Raw genomic sequence first — 23,167 nt, forward strand, 5'->3', positions numbered from 1 at the left:
GAACAATGGTATACTTCTAAACCGTGCTGTGAAGTTTGCAAATTATGAAATTCTATAATTTGTGGCTGGGTAAGGGAGGGTAAGCAATGGTTGATATTTAAAGTAAACATTTTTTTAACTGAATTTATAAAACACAGATATACTGCACCTAAAGCAAGCCAGATATATAAAAATCTGAACTTGTTACGCATGTGTTTATCAAAGGACAGACATTCAGCTCCCTAAAACATTTATGATTTTATTTGCAAAATCTTTACCCAAACACAAAATTTCAGGAGGGCATCTATTACAAAGTTCAAATAGGGTTGCTACATTTAGCAAATCAAAATACAGGACACCCAGTTAAATTTGAATTTCAGATAAACAAACTTTTTTCTTTTAGTATCATTATGTCCTGTGAAGTATTTGGCAACCCTCACTGCAAAGCATGATTGTTTTTGACCTAAGTTCACGACTTCAATTCAGTATTCTTAGCAAGCTTGATGTTAGGAAAAGAAAAACTGCCTGGAAGTAAACTTATCACGAGTCAGGTAAATTAACAAAGTTTTAAGTGCTATGAGAAATTAATTAAACCAGCTTAATCACAGGGATTAAATTAAACCTGAGCTTTTCATTAAATGCTAAGAAGTTCAAATTTCCCTGTATGCCTGGAGAAATTCCTGCTATAATCAGAGTGTTCTAAAGTGCTATGTTAGTACTAGAGGAATAAATGGAGGAAAAGTTAACTTAGGAGAAATTCGTTATTAAGATCAGAAGCCAAGGTTCATCGTGTAATCTGGGCTCAAGGTTCAAACTTGCTTTCACAGTGAAGAAACACCGACCCAGGGCTTCTTGCTGCTGCGTGATAACTAACACCCCAGTGCATGCTTTCTTTCATTCCTTTAATTTCCTCTAACCCAAGAGCAGGTAAATGCTTTTTCTCTGAGTTATAATACTCTTTGATGTACACATGCACAAAAAAACAAACAAAAAAAAAAAAAAAAAAAAAAACACCTCATTTTGGATCTACCAAATAGTTTCCATGGCAAAAAGTTAAGTAGTTCTTTGGAAATTTTCTGGTCTTAAATAAGCTTTGCATATAGCAGGGCAATGTGGGGGGTGAAAATCAAGAAATTTTCAGGACCCTGCCACTACGTTTTATTTAAAAAAAAAAAATGCTCACACCTGTAATCCCAGCACTTTGGGAGGTCAAGGCAGAAGGATTACTTGAGGCCAGGAGCTCAAGACCACCCTGGGCAACATAGCAAGACCCCCATCTCTACAAAAAAAAAATTAAAACTAGCTGGGTGTGGTGGCACGCACCTGTAGTCCCAACTACTTGGGAAGCTGAGGTGGGAGGATGACTTGACCCCAGGAAGTCGAGGCTGCAGTGAGCCATAATTGCACCACTGCACTCTAGCCTGGGCAACAGAGTAAGATCCTGTCTCAAAAAAAAAAAAATTCTTCTGCAACTGATGTTAATGCTAGTATATTTTAATTCCTCCTAAATTAGTAGGTCACGAGAGTTAAGAAATTATTCCACTGGAAATGAAACTACTCCAGCAATCAAAGGAAATTAGATAGGGCAGTAATAGGCAGGACATTAAACTTGAAATCAGAAGGCCTGGTTTATGTGCCCACCTCACCACTCACAGGTTGAGTGGCACTTGGCAAATCAATTTCTCTCCCTGGACCTCTTTTTCCTCGTCTGTAAAATACATGTTCCCTAAAGACTTTTTGCAGGCTGGAATTCCATGATTCACAGTCCATTTGTTTGAATTCAGATCTCTCATCTTTTACTGTAACATTTTGAAAAAATCTGCGCAATCTGGAAGCCTGTTGTGTAGATACCACGGACACCTCTCTCACCCCATTCTGAGGATGAACTCACGTGCTCTTTACAGACCACTTGAAAAACAAGCATCAGGCAGCTCAAGAGACACACAAGCCACATGTCCAAAGACAGAAAATGGCTTTAAACAACCATCACCATCGAAGAAGGAACTACAATACCAGAGAAGTGGAACATCAGAAGAGCTGTTGTTACAACTCTGGCTTCAGACATTGAAAACTACTTAAGGTTGAAAATCCTGAGTTCATAACTATCTGAAGGAAGGGCAGTGAAACAGAGTCCTTTGAGAAATGGTAGGGAAAAGAGGTTGGCCATGGAGATATGGGGAGACATTCATGGCTGCCTTCTTAACTTACAGGGCCTGCTGCATGCTCACCACCACTCTCCCCTCACTCCCAGCTCACAATTGAAGGCCAGCCACCTCTGAGACCACCTCTAGGTGCCCCAGCTCCAGGTGAGTGACAGAAGAGGGGCTGGCGCTCAGCTCTGAAAGCCCTCCCTGCTGCACCCCTGACACCTCTACGTCTGTAGCAATGTGATGAATAAAAGACTTTTAGTGACAGCAAGCAAAAGAGGGTTTCTCCCCCTGAAATTCCTGAGTAAAATCACTTTCAGAAGTGTCAGCCCTGATAAACGGTGTGTCTTTTGAGTTATTTCTTCAAGCATGGTTATGACTTGCCTGATTGACATAGTGACTGGTGACCAATCTTCAAAGGAGTTGGTGAACAGTCTCTAACCTTGGAGTTACCATGCCCCCCCATTTCCATACAGATGTCCAAATCCTCCACAGCCACTGTTAAGAACGGTGAGAGGTTCCTTTTTTAAGGAAAACCTGGCAACAGCAGAATAGGCAAAAAAAACATTAACAACTAGAGTCTTCTAGGGAACATAACCCTGGTAGATATCTCTGTATTATAGTTTCTGTGCCTAAGGAACGAGACATAAGGCAAAGTTGTTATGTGGTTTCTTTTTAGGAAGACTTGCATCCCATATGACAGAGGGAGAATTAAAAGTGTCTGTGCTGAAAGAGGTGAGCATCAGCCATTTGACAGTGCATGCCTGGGAACAGTGGGTTCATTGACGGTGTGAAAGTACTTGGCCCCTTTCTGCGGGCCTCATCAATGAAATGTGATGAATCTGCACACAATGAAATTTTGTCCTTCTGCCTGTGGATTCATTACTGGCTTTATGAAAAGACACTCAGTATTTCTGAATTGTCAGGTCTTACCCCAGAAAAGGCTAAAGGAAAACTGTTCACAGGAGGCCCGGGGAAGGTGGTAGCTGCCAGTAAATAAAAAGGGTTTCAACTGGAACCCAGAGAAGTGGCACATTTAACCCTTTCCATTAAAAAAAAATTATCCTCCTGTCATTCAGCTCAGCAGAGCTTTTAAATCTATTCAGAAGAGTTTTTTCCCAGGAGTTCTTCAAGCTTTTATCCAGTCCCCAATCTTTGAAAGATTTGAGTATGTTTCCTATTTTTCATTTTAAATGTCTGACCAAGATGCTACTGATGTTCCTGCCTCGAGTTTAGCTTGTCTTTTGGGTTATTATCATTTTCACTTTCATTGTCACTTTTTGAGAGGTAAATATTTGCAGAGGAAATCAAGAAACATCATAAACATCTCTGGATCACTTTAAAAAGGGAATCAAAGGTCTGATAAAATTTGGTTTTTCTTACTGGAGAAAGACACCTCTTGCGCTTTAGGAATCTTTTGATTTTTTTCCCTATGCATAAAGGTACTTAAAGCACCATTGAGGAGTGAGTTTACCCATTCCCTGTGCTCATGGTCAATGCTGCATCACAACTGAAACAATGCTGATGGAACAGCCCTCACCCAGGGAATGGAAGACAATGTGGCTGATGGGGAGTGTGCCCATGGGTCCCAAGATGACTGCAAGAGACAGATGTGTGTCCACAGACGTTTCTCAATGTGATGTCTGTATTACTTGCAAGGCTAAATGTGACATGCCATTCTCTCAGCCTTGTAAAAAAAAAAAAAAAAAAAATCCCACTCTCCTCATCTCTCCCTGCTGGCCCATTTGGTTGGGGCTATAGATTCCCAGCTGTCTGGCAGCTGTTATTCTGCTTGTTTACAAATTCATCAGCTTTTAAGCAAGGTTCCATGGCGCCAGAGCTTCCTATAAAGCCACTCTTGAGGCGCCCTCCAGAGCAGGGGCTGTGCAGCCATTCCCTGCTATGCCAAGAGATGGCCAATGGAGCGTGGAAGCAATATGGAAGGCTGCCATGGCTCCAGATCATTTCAAAACTACATCTCTGATCCTGCAGCACCTCGATTAAAATATGCTGCAGCCTTGGGACCCCCCTACCAGGCAGGAATCAGACTCTCGAGCCCCAGCTCTGCCAAGCGTTTGATTACATGCCTGTCATACCACTAAATCTTACTTAGCTTGTCTCTATCTTGGAGGTAAAAGTAACAGAGGGCTGCACGGGGAATGGGTCCTTTAAGTGTTTGTGACTGTGTTTGGTGGTTTGTTGGTTTGTCTTTATGCAAAGTTCCCAAGGCAGAGAAGTGTGATGGGAAGATAAAGCGGCTACAGGGAAGGAGAACAGGCTTTGGGACCAGCTGAGGGTGGGCTAGAATCCCAGCTCTCCCAGTAACTGGCCATGGAACCTTGAATTCCATCCTTAACCTTCACCTGTAAATTCAAAGATGAGTTCTTCTGAGAATGTAATTAAAAAGCACATGTAAGGCAATGGTTCTTCACATGTATCCCTGGACCAGCAGCTTCAGCCTACCTGGGAATGTGCTGGAAATGCAAATTCTCAGGTCCCACCCCAGACCTGTTGAATCCAAAACTACGAGGATGGAGCCCAACAATCCCCCCAGTGATTCTGATGTAGTTTCAGAAGCACTAATATAAGGCCTCTAGAACAGTGCCTGGAGAACAATCATTGTTAGTTCATCCTTGTAGAGATTCTGAGCATATGTGAGGGATTATTGACTTGGAGCCTAATATGTCAACTGGGCACATTGCTGGGCCCCAATAGCATCTCCACTCTCAGGCTTACAATTCAGCCATGACTGTGCATGCCCCCCTGTCAATTTGTACTTGGTATAAATCAGATGATGCCCAGGTCTGAATTACACCTAAGTGTATAGCAGTATGGGTGAAAGTGACCTAAAGGAGCAGCTTTCCAGACCCTGCCCACTCTCCCCCTCCCATCCCCACTCAAACCTTCTCTATACCAAGTGCAGGGAAGCTCTCCTGGCCCGGGGGAGACACAGGGGATGCAGCCAGCACCTCTGAAGCAGCAAATGTGAAAATTCCAAGGTTCTATGGGAAGCTGTATGACTGCCTGCTTCTCTTCAAGTTGGAAGGAAAGGCCAACCCTCAGCTGAAGCCGCCAATGCTTGCCATTTTTTGGTTGGTTATTTGGTTTTTCTTTTCTTTCCTTTTTTTGTTTTTGGCTGTAAGTTGTAAAATAATTTTTTTATTCTTTGGATGAGACTGATATCCATGTTTTGTCATGGATGCCTGGAGTGCAGAGAACATTATGTGACAAATCTATGATATGCTAACTCCAATAAAACATTCTCTGGGCTGGGGACTCATCCAGACATTGGGGGTGCTGGACCCTGCCTGGGTCAATGGGTGTGGAAGGAAGGCTTCTTGATAAGTTATCTCAGGGTGTATGAAACCTGTTTATCCTGGAAAAAAAAATTAAAAAGAAGATACCAAGTTCCTCCAGACAAGGGATATCCAAGACTTTGGTTAATGGAAAAAAAACAGGTCTGCTTGGAGGTGATAAAGGAGAAAATCACATTTGGCAAATATGAAAAGGTCAAGTACCAGGTGTATTTGTCTGGTCTCATGCTGCTAATAAAGACATACCGAGACTGGGTAATTTATAAAGGAAAGAGGTTAATTGACTCACAGTTCAGCATGGCTGGGGAGGCCTCAGGAAACTTGCAGATATGTCCTTTTTCACATGGCAACAACAAAGTGCCGAGCAAAAGGGGGAAAGCCCCTTATAAAACCATCAGATCTCATGAGAACTCACTCACTATCACAAGAGCAGCATGAGGGTAACCGCCCCCATGATTAAATTACCTCCCACCGCGTCCCTCCCACGACACGTGGGGATTATGGGAACTACAATTCAAGATGAGATTTGGGTGGGGACACAGCCAAACCACATCACCAAGCCAGAAGGAAGACAGTGCACACCACAGATGTGGCCTGGAACTATGAGCCAGGAAATGTCATCAAATAAAGTAACAAAATAATCCATTTAACACAAACTGAACACCAAACAGCAGTCATCCATTCACTACACAAATGTTAATTGAGCACACCCTCTGTCTTAGGCCTGTGCTATGCCCTGGGCACACATGCAGCTGGAGAAACACTGGACAGTCAACAAGGAGCATGAGAGCACAGGTGTCCACGGGAGAGCCCAGAGGAGGCGAAGAAAGCCGTGGTCTGAAAGATCAGGGTCCCTTAACCAGGGACACTGACAGGCTGGACAGACAGGTGTCCTCATGCAGATCTGGACCCCAAAGGGAAACAGAGCAAGGCAACTTGGGGATGTTGAGAGAAGTGAATGGCCATGGAGTTGATGGACCAAGTGAGAGGGACCAAGCCTGTGAAATATGCAGGGACCAGCCTGGAGGGCTCCCAGGCATGCTCAGGGGCTAGCAATGTGTCCCAGGGGCTCTGGGAAGCCACTGGAGGTTTGTGAGCTCTGAGCCAACTGCATCAGCACAGGTCAGCACAGGGGTGACAGACTGAGGCCACGGATTCGGAACCGGATCTGAACCTCAGTTCTATCACTTCTTAGCTTATATCCTTGGGCAAATTTCTCAATGTCTTTATGCTTCAATTTCCTCGTCTCTAAAAGGGGAGTTTCATTATCTCACAGGGTTTCAATAAGGAATAAATGACTTAAACGTACATAAAAGGCTTAGCGGCCAGGCGCGGTGGCTCACACCTGTAATCCCAGCACTTTGGGAGGCCAAGGCGGGTGGATCAGCTGAGGTCAGGAGTTTGAGACCAGCCTGGCCAACATGGTGAAACCCCGTCTCTACTAAAAATACACAAATTAGCCAGGCATGGTGGCGCACGCTTGTAATCCCAGCTGCTCGGAAGGCTGAGGCAGTAGAATCACTTGAACCCGGGAGGCGGAGGTTGCAGTGAGCCAAGATCGTGCCATTGCACTCCAGCCTGGGCAACACAGTGAGACTCTATCTCAAAAAAAAAAAAAAAAAAAGGCTTAGCATAGTGTTTGGAACATAAATGCGTAATAAATATTAGCAACTATTATTACTACTGTAACAGGGCAAATATTAATGTGGGGTTGACACAGCCTTTGCCCCTCCCTCCCACTGCCTATCAATGAGAATTCTACCAGCCCGATTTCCCCTCTTCTTCCTTATTTCAGCAGAAGATTCTTGCTTGCTGGGATCAGAGCTAACTAAGTCATCTAGTCTGACCTAGGAGGTGTTGGGGGCTGGACCTTGGTGTGGTGATGTGGAAGGGAGGCTCTTCAGGGGGTGCAAAACCTGCCTATCCTGAAAAAGAGCAGATACTGAGTTCTCCAGAGAAGGAGTATCCAAGCTTTTTTTAAATGGAAAAAAAAATGGTCTGCTTTGGTGAGGGAAGGAGGAGAGAAAAGCAATAAGGAGCTCAGATGGGGGAGAAGTCGGGGACATTTGTGTCAGGCTGTGGAGCAGCTGGGGGTGAAAGAAAAGTGGTTGGGAGGACAGAGGGAATTCAATTGAGAGCTACATTTGGACTCCTTTTAAGTTTTTTTTCTAAAGATGTAAGAATAAAATTCCCTTGTAATTAGTCTGGCTTTTGCCCTGTGTTTCTTTAAAGTTGACTCTATGCAGAGGCTGAGCCATACAGACTCCTCCTCCAGGATTTAGAAGAGTTATAGTATTAATGTTGAAAATGGGTATATGAATACCTACCCTCCAGGGCTATTCTTAGGATTAGATGTGGTAATGCAGGTTGTATCCACCAGCTTTCGATAGATTATGCTGCAAACAACCCTCAAATCATAGTGGCTTACAACAACAAAGGTTTATGTCCTGCTCCCGTTCCATGTTCACTGTGGCTTGGCTGCCTGTCTGTACTCTGGGAACCAGACAGAGGAACCCGCCCCTATCTGCGCCAGGCTGGGCTGGTGTGGAGGGAAGAAAGGCAGAACTGCAGTGGCTCTTGGAGCTTCTGCTTAGAAGCCTGTCACTTCCAATTCCATTCCATTGGCCAAACAAGTCACACATGTCGTCAACAGGGTGGGGAGCATGATGGCCCCACTGGGAAGGGCAGCAAAGACTTGGAACAAGAACACAATCTGTCACAGATATGAAGTGCTTAGGACAGCCCCTGGCACGTGGAAAGCCCTCAATAAATGATTGCAATCATTCGTATCCATCTGCAAAATGGGAAACATAACAGTATCAGTCTCACAGGGAGTTTGAGGGTGAAGGGAGGAGATAGGCAGGAATCCCTTAGCACAGGGTCTGGCACCTTGGAAGCTGCTCAACAAAAAGCAGCTATTGGTGAGTTTTTAAGGGAACAGGACTCCCAGGGACCAGGGTAGGCAATGAGAGAAGGCTGCGGCAAGGAAGCATGTGGTGATCTGAAGCTATAGAGGATCTTAGGGTCCCCATGGGAAAGGATGCTCCTGTCTCAGGGTGTGTGGGGGGTCAGAGGCTAGACCATGGCCCCAGAGAGCCAAGGGCTGCATAGGAGCAGGAAATGCCAATTAAACTCCCACCTGACTGAACAACCTGCAGCCCACCCGCAGAGCAACACAGACCTCACTTTTTATCCAGCCTTTCCTGGGCTGCGAGGCCAAGCTGTGGCTCCAGCAGGAAGCTTCTGCTGCCTGTGTCAAGGCCCAGCTGCCAAGGCACCTGCTCCCTGCTCTTGGGCATTGCAGCTGGCAACTGTCATCCCTCCCTTTCTGCACACAAGAGAGGCAACTCCAGGCCTCCCAAACCCCAAACCCCAAACCCATGCCATCCTCCACCCAGGCCAGCAAGGCTGCTCTCCCGGCCAGGAAGGCAGGGCCAGAGTAGAAGGAGGGTCTGAGGACCACAGGCTTTCAATAAAAATAGATTAAGATCAGATTTGTTTGGAGAGGCTCCCTTTCACTCCTTTTACCCCCTGTCTCTACTATCCCCCACCACACGGCTCTCCACAGAGATCCTTACCCCCTCCCCAGGACCCCTTCCTTCTTCATCATTCCACCAGCAAATGCTTATTGGAAGCCCTCCACATGGCAGGCACGTGCTAGGTGCTGGGGATAGAGCAACGAACACGTCTTACCTCTGTCCAGCTTATGCTCCAAAGCAGGAAACAGTGAGAATCAAGAGGAAGACATAAAACAGCTCCTATGTTGGGCAATGGTGAGTGCTAAGCGGCATAAGAGGGGGTGGAACTGTAGCGTATGGCACAGAAGGTCTCTCTGGAATGATGCAGTAAAGACCTAAAGGAACAAGCAAGCCTAAAGGCAAGTATAAGGAATTAGAAAAAGAGCCAGGGGCCGTGGTGGCTGCTGCAAAGCAGTTTATTCAAGGTTTCCTCTTCCCCTCAGTTAATCCTCCCCTTCTCAAAAGGATTCAGACTAGGAAAGCAGCCAGGGAACTCCCTCTTGGACTCTGTTTCCAGAGCCATGCTCTGCACTCCTCAGATGGGTCGGTGGATGACGAGGCAAGAGGGTCTTGAGTTCAAATCTTGATTCTGCTCCATTTATCAACTTTAATGGCCATCTACATCCCTGCAACCTGCTGCCGGCAGTCCCAGGACAAGCTAGCAGCTTCCTGCACCTCTGCCTGGGTTTCTCTTTGGCCCCGGAAAAGCATCTGGTCCTCCCCCAGGACAAATTGGAAGTATTGGAGAGAGACCCTCGTGCAGCAATGAAGACCCCACACCCCTCGTCCCTCAGTGGTCTGTTCTGCATTGTCTCAGCAGGTCCTCAGCAGGACAAAGCCCAGGTCCCACAGTATAACTGTCCTCAACACACATACTGGCTTTCCTCCCATCCTGGGCTAACGCTGACATTCCCATTCCCTCCCAAATAAGCTACCTGCAATTAAATCCTTGTTCATCTGCTCTGGGGGAAACCCAAATTGAGATGTCAGCCATGAGAATCTGAGAAAATACTGCAAACTCTCTGAGCCTGTTTCTTCATCTGTATCACGGAGACCATGAAGAGTAACGAACAGTCGTCAGTGGGCACGGAGGAGGGAATGAGTCACAAGGGGTGAACAGTTCAGCGTGAACGAGCTGAACTGTAAGGCAGCTAGCCTTGTGCTTGGCACAGAGGGGCAGACAGTAACCCCTCTGAGAAAACAAATGTGATGATGTATGTGAATTCGCTCTGCAAATGACAGGCAATGCCACAAATGCACACAGGCTGCGTTGCATGGGGTTAAGAGCATGAGCCCCACAGGCAGAACACCTGGGTTAGATTCCCTACTCTGCCTCATAGCAGCAGTGTGACCTTAGGCAATGATATAGTTTGGATATTTGTCCCCATTCAAATCTCCTATCAACCTGGAATTCCCAATGCTAGGCGGCGGGGGGGCCTGGTGGGAGGTGTTTGGATCACGGGGGTGGATCCCTCACGGCCTGGTGTTAGCTTCGTGATAGTGAGTTCCCCTGCAATCTGGTCATTTAAATGTGTGTGGCACTTCCTTCCCACCCTGTCTCTCTTGCTCCTGCTCTGGCCAGGTGATGTGCCTGCTCCCCTTCTGCCTCTGCCATGATTGGAAGCTTCCTGAGACCTTCCCAGAAGCCTAGCAGATGCCAGCACTATGCTTCCTGTACAGCCTGCAGAACCATGAGCCAATTAAACCTCTTTTCTTTATACATTACTCGCTCTCAGGTATTTCTTTATAGCAATGCAAAACCAGCCTAACACAGGCAACTTACTTCACCTCCCCATGCCTTGGTTTCTTAATTCGTCAAAGAGAAATAATAATATTTAATAATAACACTAATCCCATTGAGTTATCATGAAGATTAAATAAATGAATGTATGTAGTGTGTCTAGAACTGTCCATCTTCATAACAAGAACTACATAAGTTTGCTGTGTTATTTATATTATTATCATGGGCTTACTGACATTCATTTTAGTATTACATTATTTTTATGCTGTGCTGAAAATGCAAGTCTTTTACCTGCCACTCCCGATGTGTCTCTCCAGCTGCCTGCTCCAACAGACTCTACAGTTTGTCAACATGAGTTTTTTAATTGCATAAATAATTCATGAATACATTCTGATTGAAAGAGTTAAGCAGTATATAGAACAAAGTTTCTAAGTTCCTTCAACATTTGCCCCTACTCCCCTCCCACTGTCAACAATGTGAGGTCCCCTCCTAGTTCCCTTTTATATACTGGCATATATATGTATACACTTTTTTACAGTAATATACTAAATTTGCATTCCAATTGTTATTCAATTTGCTTATTTTCCTTCAACTGTATTTTGTAGATTTTTTCCTCTGATGATAAAATAAGCCTGCTTCGTTCTTTTAATTCTTCAGAATGGATATATCCTAATTTGGTTCAACAAATCCCCTATTGATAGATATTCATGTGGTTTCTAATTTTCCCCCTTTTAAAACGGCACTACAATCAACGTCTTTGTGCACACATCTTCACACAGGCAAATGAATATTTCTTAGGGTAGATTCCAGGAAGTGGATTTGCTGGGTCAAATGGTGTGTGAATTTTTTGTTTCACTGAATACTGCCAAATTGCCTTCCAATTCAAACTTCTACCAGCTTTGGGGGAAGGTTTTGTTTTTGTTTTATTTATTTATTTTTGTTTTAAACAGAGGTTTGTTTTTATTTAAAGGAGGGGTTTTCTTAAGGCAGTTGGTCTCAGCAGAGGAAAGTGTCATGTTTTTCCCTGACAACCAGAAATAGGAATCTGTTCTTTCTTTTCTTTCTGGAGATCCAACATCCCAACTGTATAACCCCTGCCCCTCCATCCACCCTTCTCTTTCCCAAACCACACACACACACGGTCAGCAACTATAATGAGGATCTTCCCCCAATATGTTGCTGACTTAATTTGAGATGTTATTCACACTAAATTGTGAGAAGTTGAGCCTCTTCCACTGTAGCTACCGGAGTAGGGGACAATGATTGCCTGCTCAACACCTCTGCTTCCTTAGAGAAAGAACCTTAAGTGGTTGGAAATATAGGACACCTTTTTAGCACGGAACTACATTTCCCAGCTTGCACTGCAAGTGTGGCAGTCAAAGAACCTTAAACGAAAGCTGATGGGGGTCTCTGGGAAAGGCTCCGCAAAGGAGACCGACTCCCCTGGGAAGTGAGCCTTTTGCTTGCCCCTCCTGTCTCCCTAGCTGGATATGGGGGTGATTTTGATCAGGTTCAACCATTCCAATGGACATCAGCCTTAGGGCTGAGCAATCTTGGAGGGTCCTGCTGTAGCTTGTGTTAACTCTTTAGTTGCTGGATCTTGGAGATGACCAGGCATGCCAAGAGGCAGTGGCTCTTTGCCCAGCTGTTCAGAAATATATTGAAGTTAAAACAACTAATTGGCCAAACCTATGCATTCTGCATGAATACCAGCGCTGCCTGAGACAAAGATGTGATGACTAGGGATGTCTGGAGTCCAGCTGTCACATACGACCATGAGGTAATCATCGAGATGGAAGCCAGGCACTAAGGATGATGGACAAGACAAAGCCTTGGCCTGTGATGAACATGGGGTCATCACACTTGCCCTCTAGATTTCTTTTACAGAAAGCTGCAGGGCTTCAACTGAATCAGTTGCTGGCATTCCGTCTTCAACGCTGTGGTCCATTATGACTGAAAAAACTCAAATCCACACATTTTGTGGCCAAAAGGGCACCCCTCTGCCTACAAACTTGAAACTGCTTTGAGGGCTCCCTTGAAGAACCCTCCACCACCCTGTGTCCTTCTCTCGACAAACTCCCATTTGCCAATTCCCCTGTTACACTTATCATCAGACCTTTGCACAGTTCTCCAGTCGGGGCCTGACACTTTCTCTTCTGGACATTGTTTTATTAAATCCAAATAAAATTTTGGTTAATTTGTGAAGTCTCCATGCCACTCTACTGGCTCCAAGATCCCAGCCCTGACTGCTGCAGGCAGCAAAGCTCCCACATGCAAATCATAATTCTTCCAACATATGATTCAGAAATTCAAAGACCCCCCCACAACTAACTTTGCACCCGTTATAAAACAGAATGTGGAGAGGTTTTCTATAAAGATGTACAGTTCAGGCTTGTTTCTACTAGTGAAAAAGTGGAGACAATCTGTGTCCCACAATAGTGAATTAATTTTAAAAATTACGGTCCATCCATCCATCCAATGGACTACTAAGCAGCTATTTAAATATAATTATATAAAATAAAAACTTACCAGCAATGTTCAAAATATATTAAGTGAAGTTTGTATTGTACAATTCCTTTTGTAAAAATAATGTATAAATATGTGTTCATGTATTTATATGTATTTGCACAAATGCATAAAGTTCATCCCAGAAGGCTAAATACCAAAAATCTTTCTAGTGGTTATCTCTAAATTTATGGGTGATTGTAAATTTTCCCCTCTGTGACTTTGTATATCTTTCTAATTTTCTAAAATACGTATTATTTTTATAATCAGAAAAATAATACAAATACCTATCTCTGTGTCTATTGATATGATGATCTATACCTATTAATCTATAACTTGGGAATAAGTGAAGGATTAGCTAATGAGAAAACCCCAGTGTGCAGCTTCAAGTGTTTTAAATGATTCTTTTTTTTTGAGACTGAGTTTCACTCTATTGCCCAGGATAGAGTGCAGTGTCGTGGTCTCTGCTCACTGCAACCTCCGCCTCCCGGGTTCAAGCGATTCTCCTGCCTCAACCTCCCGAGTAGCTGGAATTACAGGCCTGCGCCACCACGCCCGGCTCATTTTTTGTATTTTTAGTAGAGACGGGTTTCGCCATGTTGGCCAGGCTGGTCTTGAACTCCTGACCTCGTGATCTGCCCGCCTCGGTGTCCCAAAGTGCTGGGATTTACAGGCGTGACCCCCACGCCCGGACCTAAATCCATTATCCAAAGCTCAGGCTGCCTGGATTTTGGAAACCTAATCTTGTTGAACTTCCCTGTTTCCTGAGTTGTGTCACATGCTCCAGTGATGTGCCCCCAGTGACAAGCTGTCCAGTTCTTCACAAACAAAGGCTAGAAAAGTCCAGTGGATGACCTTCCACATCTGGGACTGTCGGTGGCCAGGCCTGGAGTGGCTCCTCCCCTTCTCGTCCCCTCAGCGCAGCTTCCGTCCCACAGACTTGGCACCAGCCACCACCTCTGCCCCAGATCCTTCCGCTCCCCTTCCCAGGGAGAATGTGTCCTGCCAGCTCTTGCCCCACCAAATGAGGAACGGGGACTTTGCCGCTGTCCCATTCTGAGAGGTTTGCTCATGCAACCAACCCTCCCCTGGGGCCTCAGACCAAGGCTGTCTCGGCCCAGCCCTGGACCTCAGCCTTAGCTAGGACACAGGAGCGGTCCGCCTGCTCTGTCCGTCCTCGCAACTGCCTCCGAGTCCAGCACCCCAGTTCTCAGGCCCAGCCCCGTTTCCTCCTGTCCTTTTTGGTTCTGTGGGTGGCAGAGGCCAGGCAGCGTTTTGGGGTGGGAGCACTGGAGGAGTCCAGGTGAAGTAGGATCCGCCCATCAGTTCTGAGCCCTGAGTTGACCAGGTTGTCTCCGAGCAGCCCGCCCTGGGCTGGGAGGCCTTAGCCCAACCCTCCCACCTGACCCAGGGCCGCAGCGACTGCCTGCCGCTCTCCCCGCCTCGCCTACGCCTGTTAGGCCTGGGAGAAACCGAAACCCTCCTCTGCAGACCATCAGTCAGGGTGACGCAGCAACCTCACAGCCTAGGGTCTAGCACATTTAAAACATTAAAGCGTCTGCTCCATTTAACTTTAGGTGAATGAGCACTCTGCCTCTCTCCCTGCCTTTTCTACCAACAGCCCCTGAGTTATGTTGTTGTTGTTGTTGTTGTTGTTGTTGAGACAGAGTTTCGCTCTTGTCGTCCAGGCTGGAGGGCAATGGAGCGATCTCGGCTCACTGCAACCTCCGCCTCCCGGGTTCAAGCGATTCTCCTGCCTCAGCCTCCTGAGTAGCTGAGATTACAGGAATGTGCCACCACACCTGGCTAATTTTTTATTTTTAGTAGAGACGACGTTTCTCCATGCTGATCAGGGTGGTCTCGAACTGCCGACCTCAGGTGATCCACCCACCTCGGCCTCCCAAAGTGCTGGGATTACAGGTGTGAGCCACTGTGCCGGGCAAGTTATGCCTTTTTTTTTTTTTTTTTTTTTTTTTTTTTTTTTTTTTTTGAGTGAATAAAACCAGAAAAACGGTCCACTTATGTAGTTACAAGTAAATCGAGTTACTCACTTGGAGATTAACATACTTGTGCCTGCCCTCTCCTGCCCCAGCCAGCACATGTGTCTCCCTGAGGGAATCAGGCAGAAGGCCCAAGAGCAGCCCCTAGACTGTGACTCTTCCAGGGAGGCCTTCGCCAAACCACCGGACAGCCCTTGCCGGGGGTCGTCATGAACAGGCAGGGCTCTAGGCCAAGCAGGGAGTCCCACAGGAGAGCCCACTGGGCTGTGCTTCCAGGAGAGGGCTGCAGCCTGCAGAGCTATGCTCCTGTGAGACCAGGAAGGCCAGACCAACCAGCCTGCCCGAGAGGTGGGGAAGGGAAGGCCTTTGTCTTGCCAGATGCTCTAGTTTTGCTATTTATTTGCTGAGTGACTGTGTCAGTAGCTTAGTCCCTGAGGAGAGACACCTCAGACTCTCCTCTGTAAAACGGGCATAATATCAGTAGTTACCTAATAAGGAGGTTGTACGGATTAAATGAGTTAACGCTTTCCAGCTGCTTATCACAGTGCCCAACACAGAGTAAGTGCCTAGAAAAACGTTAGGGGTGCAGCGACAGCAGTGGGGGTCACTGTGACCACCACTAGCGCCTTCTAGAACTCCCACAAAAAAGCTCTAAGTCATCCAGAAGCCGATCCCCCACCCCACAATGTCATCCCTGTCACCCAGGCTACACAATGATCACAGCCGAAAAAGGAACGCCTCTGAGGACAAGCGGAAAGTGTGCCTGGAACATAAATGTTTGCTGAATGCATGCTGGAATTGAGAGATTGCAAACAAATCAGGGCTCATACGCTCCCCACAAAAAGAAAACGAAACTCACACCCCACTCACAGAGGGTAGTTCAATCCCCTCAGTAGCTGACAGCACCAGCCGGCTTAGCTATGCTGGCTGAGTGTGATGCTGGCTCCACTCTCCCTCTGCCTAAGGGAGCATGTGTTCAACAAACATTAACTTTTCTGTGCCTCTGTTTGCTCATCTCTAAGCTGGGTAGCATAAAAATAGCAACTACTTCGTAGGATTGCTGTAAGAATTAGATGTGATACTGTACATGTAAAGCACCTAAGTCAGTGCATTTGCACACTGTAAGTGTTCAATGATATTAGTTTTTATCATTTGTTTTCAGAAGATATGAATTTGATCCCTGCCTATACTATACTCTCCTAATACTCTGAGCAAATTTTAGTCATCTCTCTGAACTTTGTTCACCTCCTATAAAATGGGAGCATTATCCATTCAGCCTCATTAGACTGTTGTGATGAGTAAATCAAAGAAAATCAGTGAAAGTGCTCTCTCCGACCCCTCCCATCTTGTTTTGTTGTTGTTGTTGTTGTTGTTTAGTTTTGTGTGTGTGTGTGTGTGTGTGTGTGTGTGTGTATGTATGTGTTTTTTAGACGGAGTCTCTCTCTGTTGCCAGGCTGGAGTGCAGTGGCACAATCTCAGCTCACTGCAACCTCTGCCTCCCGGGTTCAAGTGATCCTCCTGCTTCAGCCTCCCAAGTAGCTGGGACTACAGGTGCGCACCACCATGCCGTGCTAATTTTTTTGTTATTTTTTAGTACAGATGGGGTTTCACCGTGTTGGCCAGGATGGTCTCAAGCTCTTGACCTCGTGATCCTGCCTTGGCCTCCCAAAGTGCTGGGATTACAGGCGTGAGCCACTGCACCTGGCCTCCCATCTTTATATGACTTACATCTCTTCCAGTGCCTGGTATATAAATGCCTGTTGAATGAATGAATATAAAACTCTATGATATGGTGGCTATTTAACTGCTTGCTGAACATTTGGATTAAAATTGAAGTACTTTTATGTGGCTTCAGCAATGGTGGCTCAACAGATGAGATGGTTTCAAGAGAGATTACAGACTGGCAACCACCCTTGGGTCTGTCTGTTCCTTCCTTTTTTTCCTTTTTTATGAACATGGGCTGTTACAATCAAGTCAAACACATCTCAGCAGCTTTGAGTCTTTGGGCCCTACCTCCCGAAGGGAGGACCAAAGGTCACCTTCTTTGTTCATCTAACAGATGAGTAAAAGATACACTGCAGCCCCCAGATGATCTCTGCCTCATTCCAGAATCAGGATCAACTTTGAAACAATTAACAAGTTGTCGTCTCTTAGTCCTAGAGGACTTGGAGTCTAATTCAGTTCTACTTTAGCTTTTTCCAAGGTCGTGCCCTAACTTTATGCCTGCAGTTCTTCATCTTAACCAATCTCATTCTAAAGAGTTGTCCATTTTAATGGCCCTGGGCCAACAGCCTGCCAAAGAAATAAAAATAAAATAGCAGAAGGAGGAGAGAAAAGAGAAGGAAAAGAAGAAGAGGGAGAGGAGGAAAAAAACAGAAGGGGAAGGAAGAGGAGGAGAAGGGATGGAAGGGAAGGAGGAGGAGAAGAAAGAGGAAGAGGAGAAGGAGGAAAAAGAGGGAGAAGAGAAGGAGAAGGAAAAGCAAAAGGAGCAGGAAAGAAAAACAATAGTTTTTTGATTCCGTGAATTAGTCAGAAACCATCAACACTAAGTAGGCGTGTCTCAACTTGTCCTCTTGGAACTCTGGAATGAAGCAAATCCCCTCATGGGCTCTACTAGAGCACGTTAATTCTAACAAGATGAAGTTGCTGTTCCAGTAATTCATTTCAAGAAAACTTTCCTGGAAAGCTGTACTTTCCCCATAAGAAACCACTGCTTTATTAAGGTGCTTAAGATTATGGGGACTTGGCATGCAGGCATGCTGAAGGCATCACTTATTTCTGGCCAGGCCCTGATTGCTATGTGGGCTCACAAAACAGTGCCGAGCAGGGAACAGAGGGAGCATAGCGACCAGGTATGTCTCTAGTCCTTCCCAGGTCTCCTTCCCCTTTTGAAAATGGAGATGACGGTACCTGCCCAGGGATTCCACCAGGGTCGATAAGATCATGTGTGTATAACTGGTTTGAACTCCTTAGAGAAACAGTGTTCTTTAAATATCATTTCATTATCAGGTATGATTTTTAAATCTGTGCTTGTGTAACCAAGCAACAATACTTGAGGGGCATCTCTAACCCTATTAGCCAGTGTTCCCTAGAAGGTCACCCACTCTCAACTCTTGCTCTCACCCCTTTTGTCCTTTCCCTCTGACCAGCCTGCAAAGAAAAACAAGAAAAAGACCAAAAAAAAGTAAAGGACACAAACATCCAGGGTACACCTCCTGTGTGTCGGGTATAAAGCTAGGTGCTTTGTGAAAATCATCTCATTTAATCTGCACAGCACCAGGTGAGAAAGGGATTATCATCAACATATCCCTGAAGAAATAGGCTCAGAAAGATTAAGTAATTTGTAGAATCAAAATGCTAACCAAGGTGTTCCTGGCTTACTCTTTCTATTCGACAATGCCATTGTCCCTCAAAGAGCTCTAAAAAGATTCTCCTACCCCAACACATTTGAGAGCCGCTGGCATGGACCTGGTTAATGAGCTCAACTCATAAATATATACTGGGGGCTCATTATTATGAAAGATGACCATTGCTAATCGGATTACAATCTCATTTATAAAAAAGTCCTGAACCCATTTTTTTCAACAGAGTTCAGTCTGGCTGAGTTAATGACTTGTCTACCAGCCACTCTTAACCTAGTTCTGACCTGCCTTCCGCTGGTTGGCAATAAGCCCATCTAATCCTTCCTGGACTTGTACCCTGTGGATAGGTAGACGCAGTGAGACACTGGAGGAATGCAACCAGTGATGGAAAATTGTTTTGACACCTTGCCTCTCTCCTCCCTCATGTCACACACTACTTCTTTTGTGTTCCACCAACCTTCGATCTCTTTTTTACCCCACACATTCTGCAAACATCAAGGATCCTTGTTAAAGCTCAGACAGATCTATGTTTAAATCCAAGACCCTGATCCTTGGGCATGTTCCTTAACTTCTCTCAGTCTCACTTTGTCTACCTGAAAAATGTGGGAGAATAGGGTTGCTGTGAAGATTCAATAAGATAATACATCCATAAAAGGTACTTAGCATAGCACCTGCACATGTAAATAGTAGCTGCATATTATTATTTCTTTTTTCAAAGTCTATCCCTTTTAATTTGAGGGATCATAGTCATTGTCCCTCAATGTCTATGACCCCAATTAAAAGGGATCATAGTCATTGAGGGACAATGACTATGATCCCTCAAATTAAAACTTCTAATTGTGGTTTAAGCTCCTTAATAGTTATACCTATTTCTCATATTTATTTATTCTTTCATACACCAAATATTTGCTGAGGATCTACCACATACCCGGCCAGGACAATGTACATCACAGATGCAAACACCTGCCTCCCTGTTATGTATTAGTCTGTTTTCATGTTGCTATAAAGACACTACCCGAGACTGGGTGATTTATAAACAAAGGAGGTTTAATTGACTCAGTTCCATATGACTGGGGAGGCCTCAGGAAACTTACAATCATGGTGGAAGGGGAAGCATGCACCTTCTTCACAAAGCAGCAGGTGCGAGTGTGAGCCCAGGGGGAAGAGCCTCTTATAAAACCATCAGATCTCATAAGAACTCAGTAACTATCAGGAGAACAGCAAGAGGAAACCGCCTCCATGATCTAGTCATCTCCCTTCCTCAACACATGGGGATAACAATTCGAGATGAGATTTGGGTGGGGACACAGAGCCAAACTATATCATGGTATTTACACTACAGAGGACAGAAAAAAAAGCAGCCAACCAACCAAGACTTAAAGGAGATTTGAGAAGGGGCCACATAAATATGAGAAAGAGAGGGCCAGGAAACGAGTGTGGCTTGTGCAAAGGCCCTGAGGCTAACAGGTAGCTGGCAGGCTTCAAACACAAGGGCAGTGGACATTCTGGCTGGAGGAGGGAGGCAGGGGCAGAGAGACATGAGGTCAGGCAGAGCAGACATTTGCCGTGGGTACAAAATTAAGGGGCAGGCTGGGCGCCATGGCTCACGCTTGTAATCCCAACACTTTGGGAGGCCGAGGTGGGCGGATTACCTGAGGTCAGGGGTTCAAGACCAGCCTGGCCAACATGGCGAAACCCTGTCTCTACTAAAAATACAAAAAATTAGCTGGGCATGGTGGCACATGCCTGTAAACCTAGCTACTAGGAAGGCTGAGGCAGGAGAATTGCTTGAACCCTGGAGGCGGAGGTTGCAGTGAGCCAAGATCATGCCACTGCACTCCAGCATGGGTGACAGAATGAGACTCTGCCTCAAAAAAAGAAAAAAAAAATTAAGGGCAGCAAAAAGCTCAGTAATCAAGATGAATAATATTTTAATGCAATATTTTTAAAGATCATATTTAATACAAAAAAATCATGATTAAACATCAATATTTTAGATAATGATAGGATCAGTGATTCTCCCTTTTGCCTCAGGCTCTGCTATGGCCCAGCACAGTGTCCATCTTGAGAATGGAGAAGCCCCCTTATATTTTGTGCCTGGAGCCAGTGCCTCATTTGCTTCACCCTCCTCCCAGCCCTGAGTGCGAGAGGAGCAGGGGCAGGCAATGCAGGACCACTGCATTTGTGAAACATGACCTGACATGCACCCGACTCCTCCAGCCACTGTCCTCTGTGTGCCCCGTCCTCTCTGCTGCAGTCACGCACATGCCATCGTGGCCCATGGCCACCGTCCTCCTCCTTGACACTCTAGAAGCTGCTCTGTCTGAGCGAGGCGGCAGAGTTTACAACAGGATGTGGTTATTGGCGCTGCACAGATATGTGAGGGGAGCCTAGACGTCCGGTGTGTTCATTCAGCAGGGTGGCTAAGGACCTCCTCTGTGCCAGTCACCAGGCTAGATGACAGGATGTGACAGGGAGCAAGAAGCCTGTGGAGCCTGGGCTGCTAGCCCACTCATAACCCTAGGAGTCTTCACACAAGATCAAGGAGACCTGAAATAAATGGCCAGAAATCAACCCTCAGATGATACAGTCAGCCAGCAGCCTCAGCTTCAGAGGCAAGGTAGCCAACGGCCATGAAGATGTTCTTCAGCCCAGACACATGTGGGTAGGAGCCTGGCCGTATCGCCTAGAAGCTGTGGGATCTTAAACAGTTTACAGAGTCGTTCCAAGGGTCAATTTTCTCATCTGTGGAGTGGAAACAGATTCCCTTCAGAGGCCCCCTGTGAGGAGCAGAGAATGGCTGTGAGGTGTGTGACGTGCTTGATGAGAACCGTCTCTGTCAGCATTATGATGGCAGCACTGAAGTGCTTTCTGTTTCTATCCTGACCTACAATGGTGCCTCTTTCTGTCATGAAGTATAGGTAAGAGTTGGTGAAAGAATGGCAGGCTCCTCCAGCAGCTCCCAGTTCCTGCAGGGAGGCAGCCGGCAGCACATTTAAGGAAGCCCTGCCGGTCAGACACTTGGAGAAGGAACGAGATGTTGCCAGCACCACTCACCAGGTTTGCAAATAAACTGTCACATCTCAGCTCTCACCAGTGCGTGGCTGTGACAGACAGGTTCATGTGTGTGCAACACCCTCTTCCCTGCCACCCCCAACTTTAACACTTTCTGTTGAAAAATCCCAGGCTGCACAGAAAAGCAGCTTTCAAGTAGATGGAGGAATTTGTGAGTATCAGGTCTTCCCAGCAGGGGAGTGAGGACAGCCGGTGCCAGTTCCTGCATCCTTAGCCTGATTGTCGGCTGAATTGCAGAATTTGCAGCAAAGTTTCTAAGGATCACCAGCCTGGGTGGTTCAAACTGGCAAGGTCCAGTGCCCATGCATGGAGCCCAAGCTACCTGCCAGTTTGATGACAGGTTGGTAGGGCTCCACCTTGGAATTTTAGGCCAGAGAGAAAAGGTCGGAGCCCCTCTCTGTGGTACCTCTGGGGAAAGCCAGAAACAAGGATGCAAAGAATAGTCCAGAGTTTTGAGCTGGAAGGTATCTCAAAAAACAGGTAGTCCAGTCATTTTCAAATGTCCACTTTTACAGGGAAAACCTTGCTTATCTCAAATATAATCATATTATAAACTTAATATGTATTTTTAAAAAGAAGAAAAAAACATGCTCTTCTGTGTTGCTCAACAGGGATGCTATTGAAAATTCCAGAAAGAATTTATTTTGTGGAACAGTCCTGTTGCACAAAATATTTCGTATTCCTGGGCCCCATCCCCAACATTGGTGGTCCCCCCTCCGCCACCTCAAGTGACTGAAACTAAAAAGCCCCACACATTTCTCAATGCCCTCTGTGGTTACCGCTCCCACTGGGAACTCATCTAATTAAGTGGGGTTGCAAGGGAGAGGGCAGCCACTGAGCCTGAGATGGTACCCTTCAACCTGGCCTCTGCAGAGCATCCTCTGAAAACCACCATGGGGTTGCCTGACAACACCCGAGGCAGAACATTCTCACTGTATTGCCTGAAATAAGCCCTTTAGCCTCTGGGGGCCTCAATTTTCTCCTCTGCAAAACAGCAATGATAATCCTTTCCTGTTCCATAGCACCTTTGTGGGGACCAAATGAGGCCTTGCGCACAGCATACTTTGTAAACTCCCGAGCCCTTGCTGATGTACAGCATCCTTCATCGTATTACTCTCCTGTGTATATAAAGACACTGTTATCCAAGTCTTTTGAAAAGACTTACCATGGAAACCAAATAATAAAAGCAAAAAGCTCAGTCATAAGGCTTTCACTGAAACCTGCTTCTATTCGCATCCGTTGCACACACAGCCCCTGGAGACAATGGCTGTGCTCCACTCCCACTGAGACACCTACTTCGGCTTTTGTTAGCTGCCAAGACAATCAACCAACCTCGGCCTGTAGCAGAGTCTCAGCCGGCACGACTGGGAGGCCCACAACTTAGAGAAAACTGCTTAGTGGGCCTCAGTCCTTTCCCTGTTACCCAAATGGTGCTTTTGACTTGAAAATGTATCAGGAAAAAAGTTATGAACAGACACTTCACCCAACTTCACACCTGTACCAGGTCTAGATGTCACCATTTTGAC

General features: G+C 45.9%; 1 long non-coding RNA gene across 2 annotated transcripts in view, besides 3 other annotated features; it reads right to left on the reverse strand.

Moving 5' to 3' along the window:
* The window catches only part of LINC00598 (long intergenic non-protein coding RNA 598), a 133,873-nt gene that overhangs the window by 20,786 nt on the left and 89,920 nt on the right, over positions 1 to 23,167 (reverse strand). The gene's annotated exons all lie outside the window — the stretch shown is intronic.
* Positions 14,817 to 15,372: an enhancer, noted in NCBI's record as "H3K4me1 hESC enhancer chr13:40956871-40957426 (GRCh37/hg19 assembly coordinates)". NCBI's record gives its function as "activates a minimal SCP1, AML or CMV promoter by ChIP-STARR-seq in naive H9 embryonic stem cells {active_cell/tissue: H9 hESC(naive)}" and the evidence as "EXISTENCE:reporter gene assay evidence [ECO:0000049][PMID:30033119]".
* Positions 20,629 to 20,768: an enhancer, noted in NCBI's record as "active region_7603". NCBI's record gives its function as "activates an Ori minimal core promoter by ATAC-STARR-seq in GM12878 lymphoblastoid cells {active_cell/tissue: GM12878}" and the evidence as "EXISTENCE:reporter gene assay evidence [ECO:0000049][PMID:35858748]".
* Positions 21,209 to 21,288: an enhancer, noted in NCBI's record as "active region_7604". NCBI's record gives its function as "activates an Ori minimal core promoter by ATAC-STARR-seq in GM12878 lymphoblastoid cells {active_cell/tissue: GM12878}" and the evidence as "EXISTENCE:reporter gene assay evidence [ECO:0000049][PMID:35858748]".

The sequence above is a fragment of the Homo sapiens genome, chromosome 13 (assembly GCF_000001405.40).
Source record: "Homo sapiens chromosome 13, GRCh38.p14 Primary Assembly".
NCBI lineage: Eukaryota > Metazoa > Chordata > Mammalia > Primates > Hominidae > Homo > Homo sapiens.